General features: G+C 53.5%; 2 protein-coding genes and 1 long non-coding RNA gene across 57 annotated transcripts in view, besides 11 other annotated features; 1 reads left to right on the top strand and 2 right to left on the bottom strand.

Annotated features, from left to right (window-relative positions):
- Window positions 1-1,898: 1,898 nt before the first annotated feature.
- On the bottom strand, window positions 1,899-9,995 carry OTX1 (orthodenticle homeobox 1). Of its 3 annotated transcripts, none has more exons than NR_130153.2 (5): window positions 8,833-8,900; window positions 8,413-8,481; window positions 6,643-6,850; window positions 5,532-5,798; window positions 1,899-4,229 (listed from the first exon to the last, which is right to left on the bottom strand). NR_130153.2 is itself a non-coding variant. In NM_001199770.2 (5 exons), exons 3-5 carry the CDS (start codon window positions 6,737-6,739, stop codon window positions 3,414-3,416), a joined length of 1,065 nt encoding a protein of 354 aa, NP_001186699.1. In that variant the 5' UTR covers window positions 6,740-6,850; window positions 8,413-8,481; window positions 9,578-9,995; the 3' UTR covers window positions 1,899-3,413. The 3 variants fall into 3 exon arrangements, 2 of the variants coding, with proteins under 2 accessions (NP_001186699.1, NP_055377.1); NM_001199770.2 differs by lacking the exon at window positions 8,833-8,900 and adding an exon at window positions 9,578-9,995 and having other exon boundaries at window positions 5,532-5,683; NM_014562.4 differs by having other exon boundaries at window positions 5,532-5,683.
- Window positions 2,915-3,474: an enhancer, noted in NCBI's record as "H3K27ac-H3K4me1 hESC enhancer chr2:63283391-63283950 (GRCh37/hg19 assembly coordinates)". NCBI's record gives its function as "activates a minimal SCP1, AML or CMV promoter by ChIP-STARR-seq in primed H9 embryonic stem cells {active_cell/tissue: H9 hESC(primed)}" and the evidence as "EXISTENCE:reporter gene assay evidence [ECO:0000049][PMID:30033119]".
- Window positions 5,146-6,092: an enhancer, noted in NCBI's record as "H3K27ac-H3K4me1 hESC enhancer chr2:63280773-63281719 (GRCh37/hg19 assembly coordinates)". NCBI's record gives its function as "activates a minimal SCP1, AML or CMV promoter by ChIP-STARR-seq in naive and primed H9 embryonic stem cells {active_cell/tissue: H9 hESC(naive and primed)}" and the evidence as "EXISTENCE:reporter gene assay evidence [ECO:0000049][PMID:30033119]".
- Window positions 5,450-5,499: an enhancer, noted in NCBI's record as "active region_15874". NCBI's record gives its function as "activates an Ori minimal core promoter by ATAC-STARR-seq in GM12878 lymphoblastoid cells {active_cell/tissue: GM12878}" and the evidence as "EXISTENCE:reporter gene assay evidence [ECO:0000049][PMID:35858748]".
- Window positions 8,875-9,534: a silencer, noted in NCBI's record as "silent region_11542". NCBI's record gives its function as "represses an Ori minimal core promoter by ATAC-STARR-seq in GM12878 lymphoblastoid cells {active_cell/tissue: GM12878}" and the evidence as "EXISTENCE:reporter gene assay evidence [ECO:0000049][PMID:35858748]".
- Window positions 9,651-10,398: an enhancer, noted in NCBI's record as "NANOG-H3K4me1 hESC enhancer chr2:63276467-63277214 (GRCh37/hg19 assembly coordinates)". NCBI's record gives its function as "activates a minimal SCP1, AML or CMV promoter by ChIP-STARR-seq in naive H9 embryonic stem cells {active_cell/tissue: H9 hESC(naive)}" and the evidence as "EXISTENCE:reporter gene assay evidence [ECO:0000049][PMID:30033119]".
- Window positions 9,651-11,170: a biological region, named in NCBI's record as "VISTA enhancer hs1066".
- Window positions 9,762-11,170: an enhancer, noted in NCBI's record as "VISTA enhancer hs1066". NCBI's record gives its function as "enhancer in: hindbrain (rhombencephalon)[5/5] | midbrain (mesencephalon)[5/5] | forebrain[5/5]" and the evidence as "EXISTENCE:transgenic organism evidence [ECO:0001131][PMID:17130149]".
- Window positions 10,399-11,148: an enhancer, noted in NCBI's record as "NANOG-H3K4me1 hESC enhancer chr2:63275717-63276466 (GRCh37/hg19 assembly coordinates)". NCBI's record gives its function as "activates a minimal SCP1, AML or CMV promoter by ChIP-STARR-seq in naive H9 embryonic stem cells {active_cell/tissue: H9 hESC(naive)}" and the evidence as "EXISTENCE:reporter gene assay evidence [ECO:0000049][PMID:30033119]".
- Window positions 11,149-11,897: an enhancer, noted in NCBI's record as "H3K4me1 hESC enhancer chr2:63274968-63275716 (GRCh37/hg19 assembly coordinates)". NCBI's record gives its function as "activates a minimal SCP1, AML or CMV promoter by ChIP-STARR-seq in naive H9 embryonic stem cells {active_cell/tissue: H9 hESC(naive)}" and the evidence as "EXISTENCE:reporter gene assay evidence [ECO:0000049][PMID:30033119]".
- On the top strand, window positions 11,209-15,808 carry EHBP1-AS1 (EHBP1 antisense RNA 1). 2 transcript variants are annotated; one of them, NR_033389.1, is made up of 4 exons: window positions 11,209-11,341; window positions 13,080-13,248; window positions 13,589-13,693; window positions 14,287-15,808. It is a non-coding gene; the product is annotated as an EHBP1 antisense RNA 1 (long non-coding RNA). The 2 variants fall into 2 exon arrangements; NR_027069.1 differs by lacking the exon at window positions 11,209-11,341 and adding an exon at window positions 12,019-12,294 and having other exon boundaries at window positions 13,083-13,248.
- Window positions 13,243-17,237, bottom strand: part of EHBP1 (EH domain binding protein 1) — a 372,610-nt gene continuing 368,615 nt past the window's right edge. For all 52 annotated transcript variants that reach the window (XM_047443744.1, NM_001142615.3, XM_011532718.4 and 49 more), the window contains 2 exons: window positions 14,550-14,664; window positions 13,243-14,320 (listed from right to left, as the gene is read on the bottom strand). In XM_047443744.1, the coding sequence (XP_047299700.1) occupies window positions 14,230-14,320; window positions 14,550-14,664 (206 nt within the window). In that variant the 3' untranslated portion in view covers window positions 13,243-14,229. The remainder of the gene's footprint in view (window positions 14,321-14,549; window positions 14,665-17,237) is intronic.
- Window positions 14,007-14,986: an enhancer, noted in NCBI's record as "OCT4-NANOG-H3K27ac-H3K4me1 hESC enhancer chr2:63271879-63272858 (GRCh37/hg19 assembly coordinates)". NCBI's record gives its function as "activates a minimal SCP1, AML or CMV promoter by ChIP-STARR-seq in primed H9 embryonic stem cells {active_cell/tissue: H9 hESC(primed)}" and the evidence as "EXISTENCE:reporter gene assay evidence [ECO:0000049][PMID:30033119]".
- Window positions 14,987-15,966: an enhancer, noted in NCBI's record as "OCT4-NANOG-H3K27ac-H3K4me1 hESC enhancer chr2:63270899-63271878 (GRCh37/hg19 assembly coordinates)". NCBI's record gives its function as "activates a minimal SCP1, AML or CMV promoter by ChIP-STARR-seq in primed H9 embryonic stem cells {active_cell/tissue: H9 hESC(primed)}" and the evidence as "EXISTENCE:reporter gene assay evidence [ECO:0000049][PMID:30033119]".

The raw sequence follows: 17,237 nt of genomic DNA, 5'->3' as shown, positions 1-17,237 counted from the left end.
GAGGCCCTGGGAGAAGCACGTGCCTCTTTTCGAAGCCTCGTTCCCCGGGCGGGAACTCCGGCCGGGCCTCGGTGTGCCTGGCTGCCAGCCCCCTCCGGCCTTAGTATGCAGGTGCCGAAGCTTCTAGACGCCCCCGAGGGGCCGGCCCAGGGGTCGCATCTGCCCCTCCCGCCCGCAGCCGCGACCTAAAGTGTGAAGCTCTGGCACGTCCCAGGCCGAGTGGGTTCAAATAACAACTGCGACGAAACTGAGGCCCAAGGGTTTGGGTACCTTGCTCCGGAGGCCACACAGTTGTCCAAACGAGTGCAAAGCCGGGTCTCCTGGTTTCGTTCCATTTAGCAGCCAAGAGGACTGCTGGGCCCCGCAGAGCTCGCCTCAGGGAGCCGCGGGCCTCGAGCGGCATTGGCAGCTGCTGCCTGAGCCAAAGCGGCCCTGGGGCCGCTACAGGCAGGGTCACTGAGGGGAGGGCCCAAAAGGCCCTGCAGCCCGGGTGCCCAGGCCAGTGCGGCGCAAGCTGGAAGCCTCCTCGCCCTGGCCGCCTGCCAGTTCTCCCCGGCACGTGCGGGGTCCGCACCAGAGATGCCACGGGGCACCCCGGCAGGTCAGGCTTGGCCCCGCATTTCACCCTAAGGCGCCGCCTAAGGGAGACCCTGCGTGGCGCGGGCCGGCCCTGCCTTCAGGCCTGGCGTACCAGGGCGGCGCCGCTGGGCCAAGGGCGGAGGGACAGCGGCTGCGCCCCTGTGGGCCTCTGCTGAGTCGGGAAAGATGGTTTGTTGGTGTGGGAAGGGCGCGCCCGAGCCTGGCCTACCGAATCCGGAGGGAGGACGCGGCCGAGAAAGCTTTGCTACAGCCGGGCTCGCAGCCCTGCGACCCCGCTGGGCGCGGAACGCGGGAGGGGTCGTTCTCCGAACCCCGCTTCACAGTGTGTTCTCAGGTCTCACACGGAATTTTTAAAAAATAGGGGATGTTGGTCACTTCGCAGGAAACTTTTCGTTGTTTCCTTGTTTCCTTCCCGCCCGTGAGCAAGTCGAGCAGATTCATGGCCTTACACCCAGGAGGTTTCAGGCCAGAGTCTGGACAGTTCCAGGCTCTGCATTTTCTGGGGGAGGATTACCCCTCAACCCCGTCTTCCCTCAGAGGGAGATGGAACTGTCCTTCCTGACCCCCAGATGCAAGCCAGTCGTCTTCTTCCCCTGCCAAAGTGAAAGGCGTCCTTGTCGACTTTTCCAGGTTATGAGTTTGTATGTTTTAAAGGAAGTTTACAGTACGAAGAAAGGTAATTTGGCTACTTCTGGCAGGAGCTGAGGGCTTAGAGGGACATCTTAGCACGTGGAAGGAATGGCTCGGATTCCCCAGCCGCGGTGAAGCCACCCGGGACAGCTCAGCAGCAAGGAAGGTTGTCTGCTGCCAACATGCAGGACACGGATCAGTTTTTTGTCGTTTTGCTTTCTTTTCCTTTTTGGCTCAGCTCTGAGAGCATTACAGAGCTATCCTTTCCCGCCTCCCGACCCTCTTCCCCTCCCCCTCTTCTTTCTGGTGCAGGCAATTAGGGTGAAGAAATCAGTGCCAGGCTCCTGCCTCTGAAGAGAAAGGAATTGCTTCGGGAATTGAGTCCTGACACCTGTCTCTGTCCTGGATGGCGAGGGGGGATGCGGGGTCAAAACGCCTGGGGGAAGAGGCCAGGCTGACGCGGAGGGGCGTGGTGGGGGTGGGGGGAGACACTCCCTAAGCGAAAGTTTCTGGGGACTTCTCTTGCCAAGTCCTCCCGCCTCATCCTTTGGCCTCCAGCTTCACGCAGGTCATTAACACGCGGGTTATTAACACGGAGTTTCCCTCGCTTTTAGCCCCCCGAGACCAGGACCTCGGGCTGGAATCAGAAGAGCAACACTGACAAGCCGTTCATTAATTTGCATTTATTTTCGGGAAGTAATGTAGATAAAGAGGAGGAGGGGGACTGCCTTACATTTCAACAAGTAATTTGTGATCTTCACATCAGACAAATCAAATTTACAAATTACTTTCCCACCTACTGGACGAAGCGGCCAAAGCCAAAATTGATACACAGGCGCGCGGGCTCTCCGCAGATTTCGGAGAACGAAGGTGCACTAAAAACTCACTAGACAAAACAAGGGTGTTGAAAGAGAGAAGCCGACAGAGGAGTTGGAACTGGGTTTGGGGCCTGGGTTTGTTTGTTTTTCCCTAATGCTGTACTTTTACGGATTTTGTTTTGTTTTGTTGTTTTGTTCCCTGGTTTTGGTTTTCTTGTTTTAGGTTTGTAAACTGGAACTGCGACCCTGTGCTTAGACCGGGTGAGGGGGTCAGCCCTGCGCCCCTGCCCAACCCCCACCTCTGTACCCTGACTTGTCTGTTTCCTCCACACTTCGGATATCCCGCGCCCAGCTTCCTGAAACCAAGCGGTTCTCTTCAATAAATACACAGAGGGAGAAGATGTGAAGAGGGCAGGGCAGCTTTGCAACAACTGAAAAAGAAAAAGCGCCATTGATTGAGGAAGAGCAGAAGGGGGACGGACAGAGGGAAAATATTTTTTGCTTTTGTTTTTTATATATGTGTATATATATATGTATATATATATATATGTGCTGTATATATCTTAAAGTTCTGTTTCCTGGGTGCTAAGACAAGATATGTTCAGTTCAACCAACCAACAGCAACTAAAAAGTTTAAGTGGTCCCTGGAACGGACCTGACTATGTACAGCGTTCCCGCCGAGGCGGAAGCTTGAACCAGTCCAGCGCAGGGCGGGGCGGGATGCGGCTCTGTGCGCGGAAGGCTGGGGACGCGCTCCTCCGGCGGGCCTAGCCCTGGCGCGCCCCAGCGCACTCCGCTGGGGCGGAAGAAACGCCGGGAGGCTCTGGCCGGCAGGCGTGGAGCAAAATCGAGGGCAGCTGAAGGGGCAGCAGTCTGCGCGGGAGGAACTCTTAGTGGTTTTGATTTGGAGTAGTGTGCGGGTGCTCCAATGGGCAGAAACACGCCAGTTAGTGACTCCAGTGTCCAGAAAGAATAAATTAAAGTGTTGGGCTCAAACAGCGGATCAGAGCGCAGAGCCTCCGAAGGCTGCAAGTGCTTAATAGCTGTCCAGAAAGACTGGAAGGGGAGGCTTAAGAGTTTAGTAGGGGCTGAAGGGGGGAAATAATACATCTCTCCTGTATAGAATGTGTAGGCCAAGCCGAAGCACCGGTCCCCCCATCCAAGGGGCAGGGTGGGTTTGCACATCCCCCCAAGCAAGTGGCACAAAAATGGGGGCGGCAGTGCAGGCAATGGACATCTTTTTGGGGGGTGAAAATTCAGTTTTGGAGAAGACGAGGCAAAGGCGGGCGGTGCAGCAGCAGCAACAGGATCGGGACCACGGAGGGCGCAGGTAGTTGCGTTTCTTCTCCTCTTTCATTCCTGGGCTCACAAGACCTGGAACCGCCATGAGGCTTGGTCCTTATAGTCCAGACAGTCGGGGGAGTTGAAGTTGAGTTTCCAGGCGGAGGAAGCAGCAGCGGCGCCAGGCTCCTTGTAATCCAAGCAGTCGGCAGAGTTGAAGGCAAGCCCAGAGCCACCGTAGCCTTGGTGGTGGTGGTGGTGATGGTGGTGGTGGTGGCCTGAGGACTGGCTCAACGGGTGGTGCGCATGTGGGTGGTGATGATGGTGGCCCGCCATGGAGGAGGGTGCCATGGGGCTGAGCTGGTGCGGGTGGTGATGTGAGTGCATGGGCGCTAGGTATGAGCTGCAGTCCACGCCGCCAAAGTAGGAAGAGGAGGGCGTAGGGTAGCCTTGGCCGTAGCTGCCGCCCTGGCCGTAGGACATGGGATAAGAGGCTGCTGCGGTGGCGGCGCCTGCAGCTACGGAGCGCTGCATACACGAGGTGTTGCTAGGCGCGGCCAATGGCTCCGGCACCGACACGGACGCGGGCGCTGAGCCTGGCGAGATGGAGGCCGGGCTCCAGATAGATGAGGCAGCTGGTGTACTCAGCGACGACGCGGCCGCCACCGGGTTCCCACCTAGTCCCGCAGCCGCTGCAGCCGCTGGGTTGGCGGAAGAGCTGGACGCCGAGCTAGAGGACGAGGCAGAGCTGGACACAGCTGGCGGCGTGAATTGGCCACTGCTTTCGGAGCCCGAGCTCTCCCGCACTGGAGAGGACTTCTTCTTGGCTGGGCGGCTCTTGGTTCCGCTCCCGCTCTGCTGCTGCTGGCGGCATTTGGCGCGGCGGTTCTTGAACCAGACCTGCAGTGGGCCGGATGGGGGAGAGTGGGTCAAAGGGAGCTAGGGGAGCTTGTTGCTCCACCGCCCCGCGGACCCAACTCCCGGTCCAGAATATCGCAATCCTTTCTCACCGAGGCCTCCGCCCCTTCCTGTCTCTGGCCTGGCCAGACCCTGCCCCCTACCTCGGTTCCCAGCTCCTCCACCCTCCCCCATCCTTCTGCTCAAAGCCCCTCCTCAGCTGGCTCCAGAGCAGGGATGCGCACCTCCCCACCCCTACCGCAACTCTGCCCTAGGGCGGAATATTTCAGTCTGCCCAGTCAGAAGTTCTGCCATCTCTAAATTGCTGCTGTTGGCTGCTTCCGTGTATGTTTGGAGGCCCCGTGTGTGTTTGGAGGCCCAGTTTTCTACTAACAGAGCTCAGGCAACAGTGGAGAGGTACAGAGCCGAAGAGTGTGGAACAGTCACCAAGTCTAGGGCCTGAGCCGTTTCACTGAGCAGCTCCTGGAGGCCAGAACTGGGCAGGGCGAGTATTTGGGTGGGGGTAGGAGCAAGGCCAGAGGCTAAACAGAGGTAGTACTTGAGGGACTCGGGAAGGAAGCCTGGGTGGGATTTCGTTGGCCCTTTGGCTCCAGGTGGGGAACCAAATGGAATGGTTACTCTTCTAGGAGAGCCCCAGCACATGGCACTGCATTCCTGGTCCCCCTTCTCAAGCTTTCGAGTAAAGGAGGCGAGACTCTTGAGGAGAGTTCTGAGTTAGAATCCGAACGTTATCATCGGAACCCTTTCATCTCAAAAACAGAAATAAGAAAGCCGGCAGCAGGATTTTGCACTTAGCATCCTCTGTAAGCAGAGGAAGCGTCTAATGAGACCCAGGCAGAGCACCAGGCTCCAGCCAATCTCCGCTCTTCCATTTCTAGGATTCCCGGGGTGGAAGACAAGGGCAGAGGCAGAATTCAGGCCTCTAAGGGAAACTGCCAAGTCCTGGGGCAGGCGAAGAAGCAGGGGCAAGTGTCAGGCCCGCAGGGCGCTTTACATTCGGGAGCTTCCCTAGTCCTCCGGCAATTCTAAAAAGTACTTTCGATACCGACACCGAAGGCGCCCTAGGGCTAAAGGCGGAATCCAGGGCTCTAAGCCATTTCCTTTAACTTTTGCCCCCTTTCCTGGCTGGGGCCCAGCGCTAGGGGGAGTCCGAGAGCGGCTGCCCAGTCTGTAAGCCCACCCCCACAGGATGGTCTCCTCAAGAACTACTCAAGAGCCTTCCTAGACCTTCCCCGAGCAGCCTCAGCTCCCCTACCCAGACCCTGGAGCCCGGGGAGTGCGCACCTGGACTCTAGACTCCGGCAGGTTGATCTTGAGCGCCACCTCCTCCCGCATGAAGATGTCAGGGTAGCGAGTCTTGGCGAAGAGCGCCTCGAGCACGTCCAGCTGTGAACGCGTGAAGGTGGTGCGCTCCCGCCGCTGCTTCCGCGGAGTGGCTGCGGGGACACGCGGGGGCGCCGCGGGTCATTGGTGGCCACGTGGACCCGCGATAGAGGACTCGGGCAGGCCCCTGGCAGGCCCAGATCTCGGCCTTCGCAAAAGAAAGCCGAACTGGGAATAAAAGAAACTCCCTCGGGCGGCCGAGCCTGAGAGGCCACAGGTGGGAGAAAGTGCAGATGTGCGACTAGAAGCCAGTGTCTCCAAGATTCGAGGGCTGCCCCTCTCTATGCCTCTCAGAGGTTAAAAAAGTTAAGAGAAGTCTACAATCTCCCTTCTTCTACATCCCCTCTCCCCTGCACACACACACGCACACGCACACACACGCACACACACACTCTGGATGGGGGACAGGGAGTGGGGAAGAGGTAGGCAGAAACACGACCTGAAAAACACTTTCGGAGAAAATAAATGAGGTAAAGGAGCGGGAGCTAAAAAAGAAACCCCGGCTTTGGCTCAAGTCGTCCTCTACAGCAGCGCAAAAATGGGTGCAGGACATCGATTTAGAGGACAATTTAATTAGGGAGGAAGAATACTCCTTCAGTGCAGCCTGCCGCTTCGCATAAGGAAAGTTTGGCTCTTTCTGTCAGGGCCTAACGAGTGTCCAGATTACACATTCCATGTTGGGGAAAAAGGAAAAATACTAGCCGCCCCTGGGTAGCGAATCCGCAAGTAAATGAGCTCTGCGCTGGCGGTGGGACCACAACCGGAGAAAGGTTGCCGGTGATCCGGCCGGGAAGGCGCATATTGCGCGTTTTCTCAGCCCTGGCCACCTCACACGCCCACGACTCTGCCCCATGCGCCGGCAGTGGGCCCTGTATTGTAAACAGACAGTGGGCCCTGTGTTGCAGCCGGCTCCCTGGGCCTGCTCAGCAACAAAGCTTGCACTCAAATCCAACAGTCTGGGGGTCCCCAACATTTGAGAGGCTGAGGCAGGGTCGGGAGGGCTGGTGCTCACCCGGATAGCCCACGGATGGGTGCAGGAGGTCCATGGCGGGCCCGGCCAGGCCCAGCCCGTTCATGCCGTATGGGGGTTGTTTGAGGTAAGACATCATGCTAACAGCTGGGTGGAGGCGCCCCGACGGATCCAGGGGGCCCGGGGCCAGGAGCGGTGCAGGGCTCCCACCACGCAGTCCTTCAGGGTCTGATGCGTCTGGGGGCCTGGCCTATGAAGACACGAGACACACGGAAACCGTCAATCGGAGCCACTTGGCTGCCAAGTCTTGCCCCGGGATAGACAGGGAAGGCAGGTTACAGAACTGCGCAGGGTGGTCAACTGGGATCCACAAGGCCTTAGCCCAGAAACCACAGTTACTTTGAAAAGTAAAGTTTTCTGGGTCGTCTGGCTCTAGGGTTGGAATGAGCCAAAGACACTGGTAGGGAGTCCATAGGAGTAAGGAGAAGTTAAAAGCAGGGCCAGGCTGGGGAGGTCAGAGCCAGAACCGCGGAGTGTACAAGCTCCCAAGTCCAGGCAAAATTCTGAATCCGGCAGAAGCCAGCTTCATGTTGCACAAGCAAAGGTTCACTTGGTGCCCGGACGGCAGGCCGCCCAGAGCATGAGGCGTTGTTTCATTTTGTTTCACGTGTTTTTGAAAAGGTAGAGACTACAAAGGGCCAATGTGGAGGGCTAATTGCACTTCTTGTCCACTTAGACACTTGGTTCCTTTAAAGGTCTCCAGGGCTGCGCCCCTGCCCCAGATCCCGCAATCACCACTCCAGCTGACCTCTCTGTGCCCAGCCACTGAAAGATCGCTGACGCGAAATCCCACCGCACCTCAACCGCAGTAACGGGCCCAGGCTTCGCAGAGGGCCAGAGGACGCCGAAGGGGCCACTGTAGAGGGGGGCGACCCCAAGATGCGGCCTGAGGTCGGGAGCGCCTCAGCTGCGGCCAGCGTCCTTCGTTGCCAGCGCGCACCCGGCCTTCTCTCTGCCCAGTCTGGGCTGCGGACCGCAGGGTCCCAGCAGGGGGTGAAGGGTGACTGGCCTAGCACCTCAAAGGGTCTCGGGGATTTGTGAAGCCGGAGGGCAGCAAGTCGCGTGCTGCCATCCTTGTAGCTGAACCCGCGGCCCCAGGACACGGTCGAGAACAGAGAACTAGGCCTCAGCGGCGTAGCCCACGCAGACCCGAGCTGGGAGGTCGAAGCCTCGCCCCCGCCGCTGCCGGGAACCCGGGGTGCCACTCTCAGGGGTCAGGGAGGGGCGCTGGAAACTGGGCCTGGGGCCCTGGGGGGCCATCGCTACACCCCGCTTAGCGGGATCGCTGTGAAGCAAGCCAGGGACTCGGGCTAGGACGTTCAAGGAGAGAAGTTAGAGCTAAAGAAGCTCCCCCCAGCCCCGTTCCCGCCCCCGTCTTCTGGGACCCAAGACCTGGGCTGAGGGAGTCCAGCTTGTAGGAAGGGGACCGGAAGGGAAGCAGCCAGGGCTCTAGGGCCGAAGGAAAATGGGACTCAAAGCTGCGACGGCTTTGCGAAGCTGCAGCGTGAGTTTTCAAAGACTTTCTCCAAACTTAGCACTTCAGCTTGGTTACTTCGGAGGAGGCGGGGGAGGGGGCTGCGGGCCGCGACAGCGCCCCGGGGTCCTCGGCTCACCAAGAGGGGAGCCAGGCCGCTCCCACAGCCCCGACCACCTGCTGGGGACCGGGGAAGCCGGGATCCATTTGAGGAGGGGGAGATAAGGGTAACCAACGCGCTCCCGGAGTCCGGGGTGGCCCCGCGGCTTTCTCCTTACCTGCCCTCAGCTGCCGGGGCCGTTCACCATCTACCTGGATCTCTCACAGAGACCCGCCGGGCAGCCAACCTGCAAAACAGAGCAGCACTGGAATTACCCTGGCGGCTGGTCTAGGACCCCCAGGTTTCTTTCTTTTCCCAACTTCCTTCTTCCCACCTCTATCTTTTTTTTCAATGGCTTTGTGCGTGTCCTTCTGGGTTTCACTTTATTGCACAGACACTTTGTTTGCTAAGCCCCACACGTTCTCAGGACATTGCCTCGCCTGGGATCGCGCCGAGGGGCCGCAAGGGGGGGAATTCGAGGGGCAGAGTTGGGAGGTGGCTCGGCGTTGCCGCGGCACTCCCGGTGCAACGTGGAGGCAGTGGGGACTGGGAAGTCCTGCAGAGTCACTTTGCAAACTAAATAAATCAAGCGATTTACCTTGTCGGAGTGGCTTGTCTTGCTCGGTTGTTTAGGTGATTGGAAATGTAGCCTGATGAAGATTGATCACCTTTCTACTGCCCTCCCCGGGTATGTGAACGCGAGGCGAGTGCGTAACGGGGCTAGGCCGCCAATCGGGGGCCCCGCGCGGGCTGAGTGACAGGGAGCCGGGCAATGGCTGCGCGAGCCGGGGGTTACCTCCGCGCGCCCCCGCCCTCCCCCGCCCCCCACACCCCGCCCTCCCCGCCCTCCCGCCCCGCCCCGGTCGCGCGCTAACTCCGGGACTCGGCTGGCAAAAGCGGCGCAGAGCTAGGCGAGGAAGGCGAGCGGAGAGCCCGAGTCCTGGCCGCGGAGGGGGCCGTGGGTCTCCAGGCCTGCCCTGGGCGCCCCCGCCCTTCTCGCGCTCTCGGCGCTCCGGAGGGAGTGGCAGGGAGGAGGCGAGGTGCTGGAGAACCGGTTCCTTCGCTCTCCCGCGCGCTACAGGGCTCAGCCGCTCGGGTGTGGGCGCCAGGACCCGGGGGCGGCGGGCTGGAGGAGCCCGGGCCTCGGCCCCTCTCCCGGCGCCGCGGGCCCCAGCGTTTTCTTCCCCGGCGCCGCCACCTGAGACCGACGCCGCGGGCTGCTCGTGCCGGCGCAGGCTACTTTGCAGAGCGCGGGAGCAGCTCCGGGCGTGCAGATCTCTCCTCGGCCCCTCCGGACTCTCGCGCCTGGGAAGAGCACCCACTGGGAGGGCGCCGCCACTTACCTGCTTGCTCGTCGGCATCTCCCGGGGTTCCAGGTCCCCACCAAGGGTGTTTGCAAGTCTTAAGCGCTTCTACTGAAACGTTGGAGCCCAGCGTCCTCTTCCCCTCACACGTACACCCTACTTCTTAATTGAAACATTTTGATAGGAAAGTTTCTTTTTCGCTCTTTCTCTCTCTTTCTTAGACTGCCTCTAACAGGGACTTTTTGATGGAAAATGTGGCCACAGACCCCTGCCCTCAACTTTTTTCCACATGCTGCGTAAGGATCCTCCTTGAGGCGATTTCCCCGGATTGTTCGTACGGGCGAAGCCCATTTCCCACCCGAAAAAACTTCCCAAACACGTCTACCTGGGTGGACTTTTAAAAGTGCAAAAAAGAGTTTTCGTTCCAACTCTAAGCTAGGCGAATCTTTTAAATGGCACCTCCTCCTGAAAATTAGGCACTTTATTCCCTTTCGAGGAATTTCTACCCCTTGTTTCTAATCTCCCCCACTCCCCCACCCCGACAGGCGGGGTAAAAAGTTTGCACAGGATTAAGTGTGAGGGCAAGTCAAGGAGCCTCCAGGCGCATCGCAGTGGGGAGCACTCGCGCTGCCCGGGCTGCGGGGTCGGGCGCCGAGAGCGGACCGGGCGCTGGGTGAGGAGGAGGAGAACGAAGGGGGAGCCCGCTGAGTGAAAAGGGGCCGCGGCCGCCGCTCATCAAAGTGCTTCCCCCTCCCCCAAGCGACACTTTCCTTTGGAGTCCGAATAAAATACGGTAACAGAATATGATGGAGGGCACACTGTTTCCTTAACTGCTTCTCAAAGGACCCGGGAGATCTTCTTAGGACCTTTAATAAGGCTTTGGTCGGTTCTTTTGTTGATCTCTCAAAATCAACTCCTTCTAATTGAAGTTGGAGCTGAAAGCGAGCTAATGTTCAAAGAAAGTGGCCGCCAGACCAACGAAATTACATTTTTTTTTTGACGATGAGGGAACATCTAATCAAAGAGGCAGGGGAGGAGGGGTGGGAGTGGGGGCGTACGAAGGAGAAAAGGAGGTTTTACAAGATCCTTCTCTGGTTCACAAAAGTCAGCGACACGGGCGCTTCTCTACAGAACAAAGACACCGCGGCCCATTCACAAAAGGGAGAGAAAGAGAGAAAGCTGAATAAAAGAACGAGAGAAATGGGGAAAAAATGAGAGAGAGAAGGAGGGAGAGAGTGAGTGAGAAAGAAGCTTTAAGAGGAAAAGAAACAGTGCAGAGCGCAGCGCTAACCCAGGCGGGGACACACCTTAGGCTCGCGCAGGCCCCTACCAGGAGTAGCCCGCGAGGCCCGCGGTCAGCCGCCCGCGGCTCGGAGCCACTGTGATCGTGCTGAGGTTTAAAGAAAGCAACGAAATATACCCCTTCCTTAGGTTCCGAGGAAAGGCGCCGGCTGGAGCGCACTAGTTTTGGGGGAAAGAATATGCGGACGTCCCGGGGTGCGCTTCGCCGGCGTCCGCGTCCATAGCCCGGCGCTGCCCTAGTCCCGGCCAGTCCGCTGTGTGCCGGGGTTGGCCCTCCAGTGCCGGGGCGCGTGACCTTGCCCCATTCCTCCACCTTAACTCATTCCTCCCTCCACCAGGCCCTGTTTCGCCTGCAGCCTCAGCACCTGACCTGGGTCCGGCGCAGCGAGGTGGGACGGCAGTGCGCTCTGGAATGTGCCAGCGCGGTCCCCGGGGTACGCCTCGCGGGAGGCCGGCGCTCTCGGTTCCAGATGCTGCCACCATTCTCGGGGAAGTTGGGAGGTATCAAGTAGCACGGATTTTTTTTTTCCTAATTAGAGTATTTATCTAATCCCAAATTGCAGGCGAATTTTCTTAACGCTCAGCCCATAAAACCCCAGGATTAAGAAAAGAAAGAGGAGAGGGGGAGAGGGAGGAGAGTGGAGAGGGAGAGAGACTGGGATGAAAGTTTCTTGAAAGCAGCGCAGAGGATTGAGGCGGCCGTCGCTAGGCAAATGTCCAGGTGGGAGATGCTGGGCCAGAAGCCATGACCGTTCCAGCATCGGCCGCGGTGCGGGAAGGGGAAGTGGGGACACCACTGGAGGAGGTGAAGCCGTCCAGCTCAAGGCCCTCGAGCCGGGAAGGGGCGAGGGAGCTGGGTGTGGAGACAAGGATCCAGCATCCAGGTGACCTCCAGGCCCGGCCAGGCTCTGGAGGACACTTGGGACAAGGGGAGGGCTTTGGATCTGAGGCCGAGGGATCTGACCAGGGGCGGAAGTTCTGCTCCGGCCCGCAGACTGTGCCCAAGCAAGCCCGCTGCCAACGCCCCTGCTCCTCTGCGACCCTCGGACCGATAGTCTCTTTTCCCGCAGCGCGGGCTTTCGAGTTCCGGGTCCTCCGGCGTGCTGGGCTCGTGCCCGTTCTCGGGAGCCAGCGTCTGGGCACCACGCAGCGATGTCCGGATGCAGCGCCCTTGCCGCGGGCCTTACCCCGCCAGGCGCCGGAGTCCACGCTCCACCGCCGCTGAGGGGCGTTCGGGCGCCACCGAGCAGCCCAAATTGAAACCCCGAGAGGCTCGGGACTAAAGCTGAAGGGGCAGGTAGAGGGGCCGCCCGGCGGTCCCAGACCATCCTAGCAAATCTGGGGCGAGGGAAGGGTTGTCAGTTGGCCGATTGGGAGCGGCTTCGGGAGCGAAGGAGCTGCTTTTCGGCGAGGCCCCTCGGGAGTGAAGGTTCCTCGAATCAAGCGTAAACTGGGTGGGTGCTGTTGGCCGCCCAGGCCCCAGGCTGCTTGGGGCGGGCGATTTCTGTCTGCTGAGTTTTCCCGGGGTTAGAACGGGATTCTGAGAGCGTTCCCCAGAGAGCAGCAGCTCTCTCTCTGCTCTCGTGCTCGAATAAAGAGGGCAAATACCGACTTCATTTACTTAAAATAACTTTTCAATAACTTAAAAGAAATGCTCATCATGAAGGAATTCTACCGTAGCAAGTTTTTATCATTTTGAAAGACTGGCAACTGGAGGTGGCTGCATACTTGGAACGAAATTTGTTTGTGTGCACATACATACGATCTACGCTGAAGTATAAATGCTAGTGGACTTTTTTCTCTAAGTTTCTGGACTTGTTGAACAAGCTTTCTTTGTTTGGACACCCCTGTGGGGGAATGAAGGAAACTAGCATAGAATCGCTTTTTTTTTTTTTCTGTAGCCTAGAACTTCTTGTTAAAAGTTCTCTTTCCCTCATTTCATACACACATACCTGCATACATTCTCCCCGCCCCCCAACAATAACCCTCTTCCTTTCACTTCAGTACCTACAGACTTGCCGGTTATCAGAAGACACGACTCTCCCTAATACGACTTCAAAACTCTAACAATTCAAAGTAATGACGTGGAAAATTCAAGATATAAATATTGGTTTTTCATTGGTGTGGAATCACAAATTTCCTCAAATCTTTAGCAGAGATGACCCTTTACAAAAGACATGATAGTTTATACTGCTTAAGAATATGACTAATTACTTTTCAATTCGCATTCGTGTGTCAGTAGGGCCCCCTCTGGGATGGTGTAAACTTATTCAGCTTCAAATGCAGCCCAGTATCCTGCCCTAAGTTCCAGAGGACCATTTTCCACATGAAAAGTCTTACGGATAGACAAACTTCCATTCAAGCCAATGTCAAGTTTTCATTGCAAGAAAGTAGCAGCCGTGTTTAAGGTAAGAAAGTTTCTGCTTTTATTGAAAATTTATATATGACTCAGTATTGTAATAAATAAACATAACCATTTTCACAAAAAATGACAGTGCTATGCTAAAGAAGAAAATATTAAATGGGGGATTTACTTGTAGTGGCAAGACAGACTTTTTATCAATACAGAATAAATATTAACAGCATTCGTGAGCCAATGTTGAGACCCAACAAAATGTAGGAATCAAGCATGATGTAAGAAATAATTATCCAGAGAAAAAGATGGTGTATTCTCGGATGATAAGACTGTCTTTGTAAACTGGTGCATATCAATTAGTCCCATCCTCACAGCTCACCTTCAAACCACAGGGCTTGTTTCTGGCTATGTTAAAGGACCATCCTCTGAGGAAAGCAGAGGAGAGGAACTCCATTATCCTTACAGTGAAACGCAACCACTGCAGAAAAACTCCACTGGTAAATAGAACACAGTTTAATAAGTAGATTGGATATGATCTAACTATAAAATTTAGGTAACAGAGTAAGTGTTACATGTGGCAGGACCGGAAAAAAATCATGACATTTTTCTTATCCCCTTGTACCCCTCCCACTGTCATTATGCTATTACCAACAACAACAAGAATAATGTTTCAAATTTTCCTCTCATCAAAAAATGAGAGAAAATAACGAGGGAAGTGTTTTTGTTCTTTTTCGAACAGTTTCTTGAACACCTCCAATACCAATCACTCACAAGGTGTCTGTGCAAATCTATTTCACAGGATTTCAAGGAAATTGTTAACTCACAAAAAAATCCTTAAATGAAGCTATTTTGGAGTTCTGTATATTATTTGGAAAGGAGGGAGGAAAAGGGTGGTGGTGGTAAAGTAGAGGTAAAGTAGTACAATCCAGCCAAACAAAATGTTAAAAGTTTTAAATCAACAATGAGTCTGACTTTTTCTGGTTTGGGAAGCAAGACTCTAAAATGTTGGGAGAGATTCTTTCTGATCTGATGGCTACTGAAGAACACATTTCTCCTCTTTCTTGGCCATCTTGCCTTTGTTTTGCTCCAGAGTTCGCTCCAAATGCTCATCTTCTTCTTCGGCCCTGGATGTCAGACAAACAGGACAAACAGGAAACAAAATTATTTTTCTTCGTGGAGGGCAGAGCAGCACTCCCCCGTCGCCCAGTATTTGGATCCCCAGCGGGAATGGGGAGCACCAGGCCAGTGGGAGGCTGCCCCGGCCCTCCCGCGACCTCTGGATTGAACTTTCCGCACACTTCTCGGCCCCTCGGCAGGTGGCCCAGCCTCGACCCGACCCCACTGCCCACTCACTGCTTCTCCTGCGCGTCCAGGTCCCTGACGAGCGCATCGCGCTTGTTCACCAGGGCCACCAGCTCATCTAGCAGAAGCTGTTCGCGTCGCTTCTGGGCCTCGGTCTTCTGCCAGTCTGCAGAAGACGGGAGGCTAGTTACCCACCGGCAGGGCCTCCGAACACCCGGCCCCCCGCCCTCCCCTTCCCGCCTTTTCCAGTTTCCTTATATTTCTCAGCAAACCACATTATAGAGCCACTAGCTAGTGTTTTCTGGGGAGTTTGGCTGTTGTGGTGAAGGCTTCCTCGCTAAAAGTCTACTTCCTAAACAGGTCCTGTGAATGGAGATGGCTGCAGCAGTGTTGGAACCTGCTTAGAACCAGGTGTGAACTGGTGGCTAGCCTGAGGTGCGCACCTGAATCCAGCCAAAGTGGGGGAGGGGAGCTAGAGGCCCAGAAGAGGTTGGCCCAGGGGTTGGTAGTGGGGGAAGTGGGTAAATGAGGAGGCGGGAAACAGTGATGGGCGATAAAATCATTCTGAAAAGGCTAGAGAATCTGCCTGAGAACCTATCCTCCTCCCCCACCCCCACTCTCACCCCAAACAGCCCATTCTTCGCTAATTTCCTCTTCGCTCTATTTTAGCAGTTGGATGTATCTCACACTGGGCGCCATATGCTTCACAATAACTTTAAAAGTAGTGAATCGGCTAATTAGCATTTTTCTTTGAAGTAAAAAATAAATTTGCTCTGCAATATTACACTGCAGCTCTCGATCGCATCACAGCCAGTTTTCTTTTGGAGACGTTTGCTGGGTGGTTTCAAATCAAAGCACTTTTGCAAAGGAAAAATTACATATTTCTTTCTGAAACCCTATGTTAAAGGTTGGAAAACCCGATGGGCAGTGCTCTTTCCATGGATGGGGGGCGTTTTTTTTTTTTTTTTTTGAAGGTTTTAGACCCCAATAATATATTTCCTAATCTTTGCTGGTCTGATGATTTCCTTAAGATGAGCAGCAGTTTCATTTAATAGAAACAGGACCAAATCGAACATTTAAAACACTTTTGAAACCAAAGCCAACTGCTCTCTGGCCAGACTGTAAGGGCTTGTAGCTGTCAATCAACCCCCAGTCTACCCCGCCTCCCTCATTAGGAAGGTAAACAATGAAAAGAAGAAGTAGATGATGAGGCAGATAGCAGAACAAATGAGGACCTAGAGGGAAACAGGACACCAGCTTAAAAAAAAAAAAAAAAAAAAAAAAAAAAAAAAAAAAAAAAAAAAAAAAAAAGAACCATGGCCACTGACTCCTGCAGCCCCCTCCCCCAGCAAATGCACTTTCCAAAAAACAGAGAGAAGTGCAATCCTTTTGGGTTTCTCTCTTCTCTCTCCATTGCCCTGGGCAATCATGTTAAAACTCACATGGCTGGTGCTTATTCAGATAAACCTAACAATGCACACCGCTGGTTACCATGTGAATCTTCACAAACCACACAAGAATGTGCTGGTTCAAATCCCCCCCGACCCCCTCCAAAGCAAAATTTATTCAAGACAGCAAACTGCTCAGCAGCTTTATGAAAGCAAATGGTGCTAGAGGGAATTCTATCTTGTATTTACAAATTAAAAATTAGATGCATCATCATGCAATAAAGGTTAGAAAAGCAGCAAAAAGCTAGACTGTTTTATTCAATTTATCACTATTTCTTTCATTATAAGCTCTAACACATACATACATATTTATATGAAACATGCTATATGTTAATTATCCACATTCGATATAAAACCACACAAATACTTTAAATAACTGATCACTATTACATTTTTATTTTAAAAATGAAATATTCTATAGCATGGAGATGAATACAGAAACTATTTGGAAAGGGTTTCTTTGAATATAATAATTTAAAAAATAATAAACAGCAAAATTGAAGAGCAGCCATATATATCACAATTTTATTCTTTGGATTTAAATGCAACTGAGGAGAGGAATGCTGGAAAATTTTTTAATCTGGTTCTTGTTCTTAAATCAGTCTTATTCAGCAGGTAAATTAATAGGCTCTCCAGGTTGGAAAGATCTTAAAGGTCATCTAGTCTAATTTCAGGTAACTATAATTCTAGAAATATTATTTCAGAAAAAAACCTAAATGTGTAATAGATTTGAGACTAAATTTTATATTAAGATTACTAGTTTAATGAATGTTAATTTTTTTCACTTCCAACCTCAAGAAATCATTCTGATTATAAGCTTTGATTTATAATTATTTACTTCGAAACCATTTTGCTAACAGCTTTACAATTGAATACATTTTCAAAAATAGAATTAAATTGAAAATTATATTAAAAAAATTAAACCAAGAAAACATAAATTTTAACAACACATATAATTTTCTTAATTATTCCTTCTCTGAACTTGACCAGTTGCTTTTAAGGCTTTAATTAGTAATTAAAAATACCAAGATTTCATTAATATTGAAAAAATTAGGACTTTAACAAAATGGATAAGAGAGGACATTAAAGAAAATTTTAACCTTTGAAGTATTGAGTAATTTAAAATATCTTAACTTTTCCCTAGCTCAGTAATGACATTTTCTATAACTGTAATGAAATCATTTAAAAATTAAGAATATTTAGGTAATTTTCATCATTTCAGAGTCAAATTTAAATGACATTAGAATTTAAAATATCCCAGCATAAATTTATAGGTTTTTAAAATATTAAA

This window comes from Homo sapiens, chromosome 2, assembly GCF_000001405.40.
Source record: "Homo sapiens chromosome 2, GRCh38.p14 Primary Assembly".
NCBI lineage: Eukaryota > Metazoa > Chordata > Mammalia > Primates > Hominidae > Homo > Homo sapiens.
Note: the sequence above shows the minus strand (reverse complement) of the source record. Positions and strands in the feature narration are given on the sequence as shown.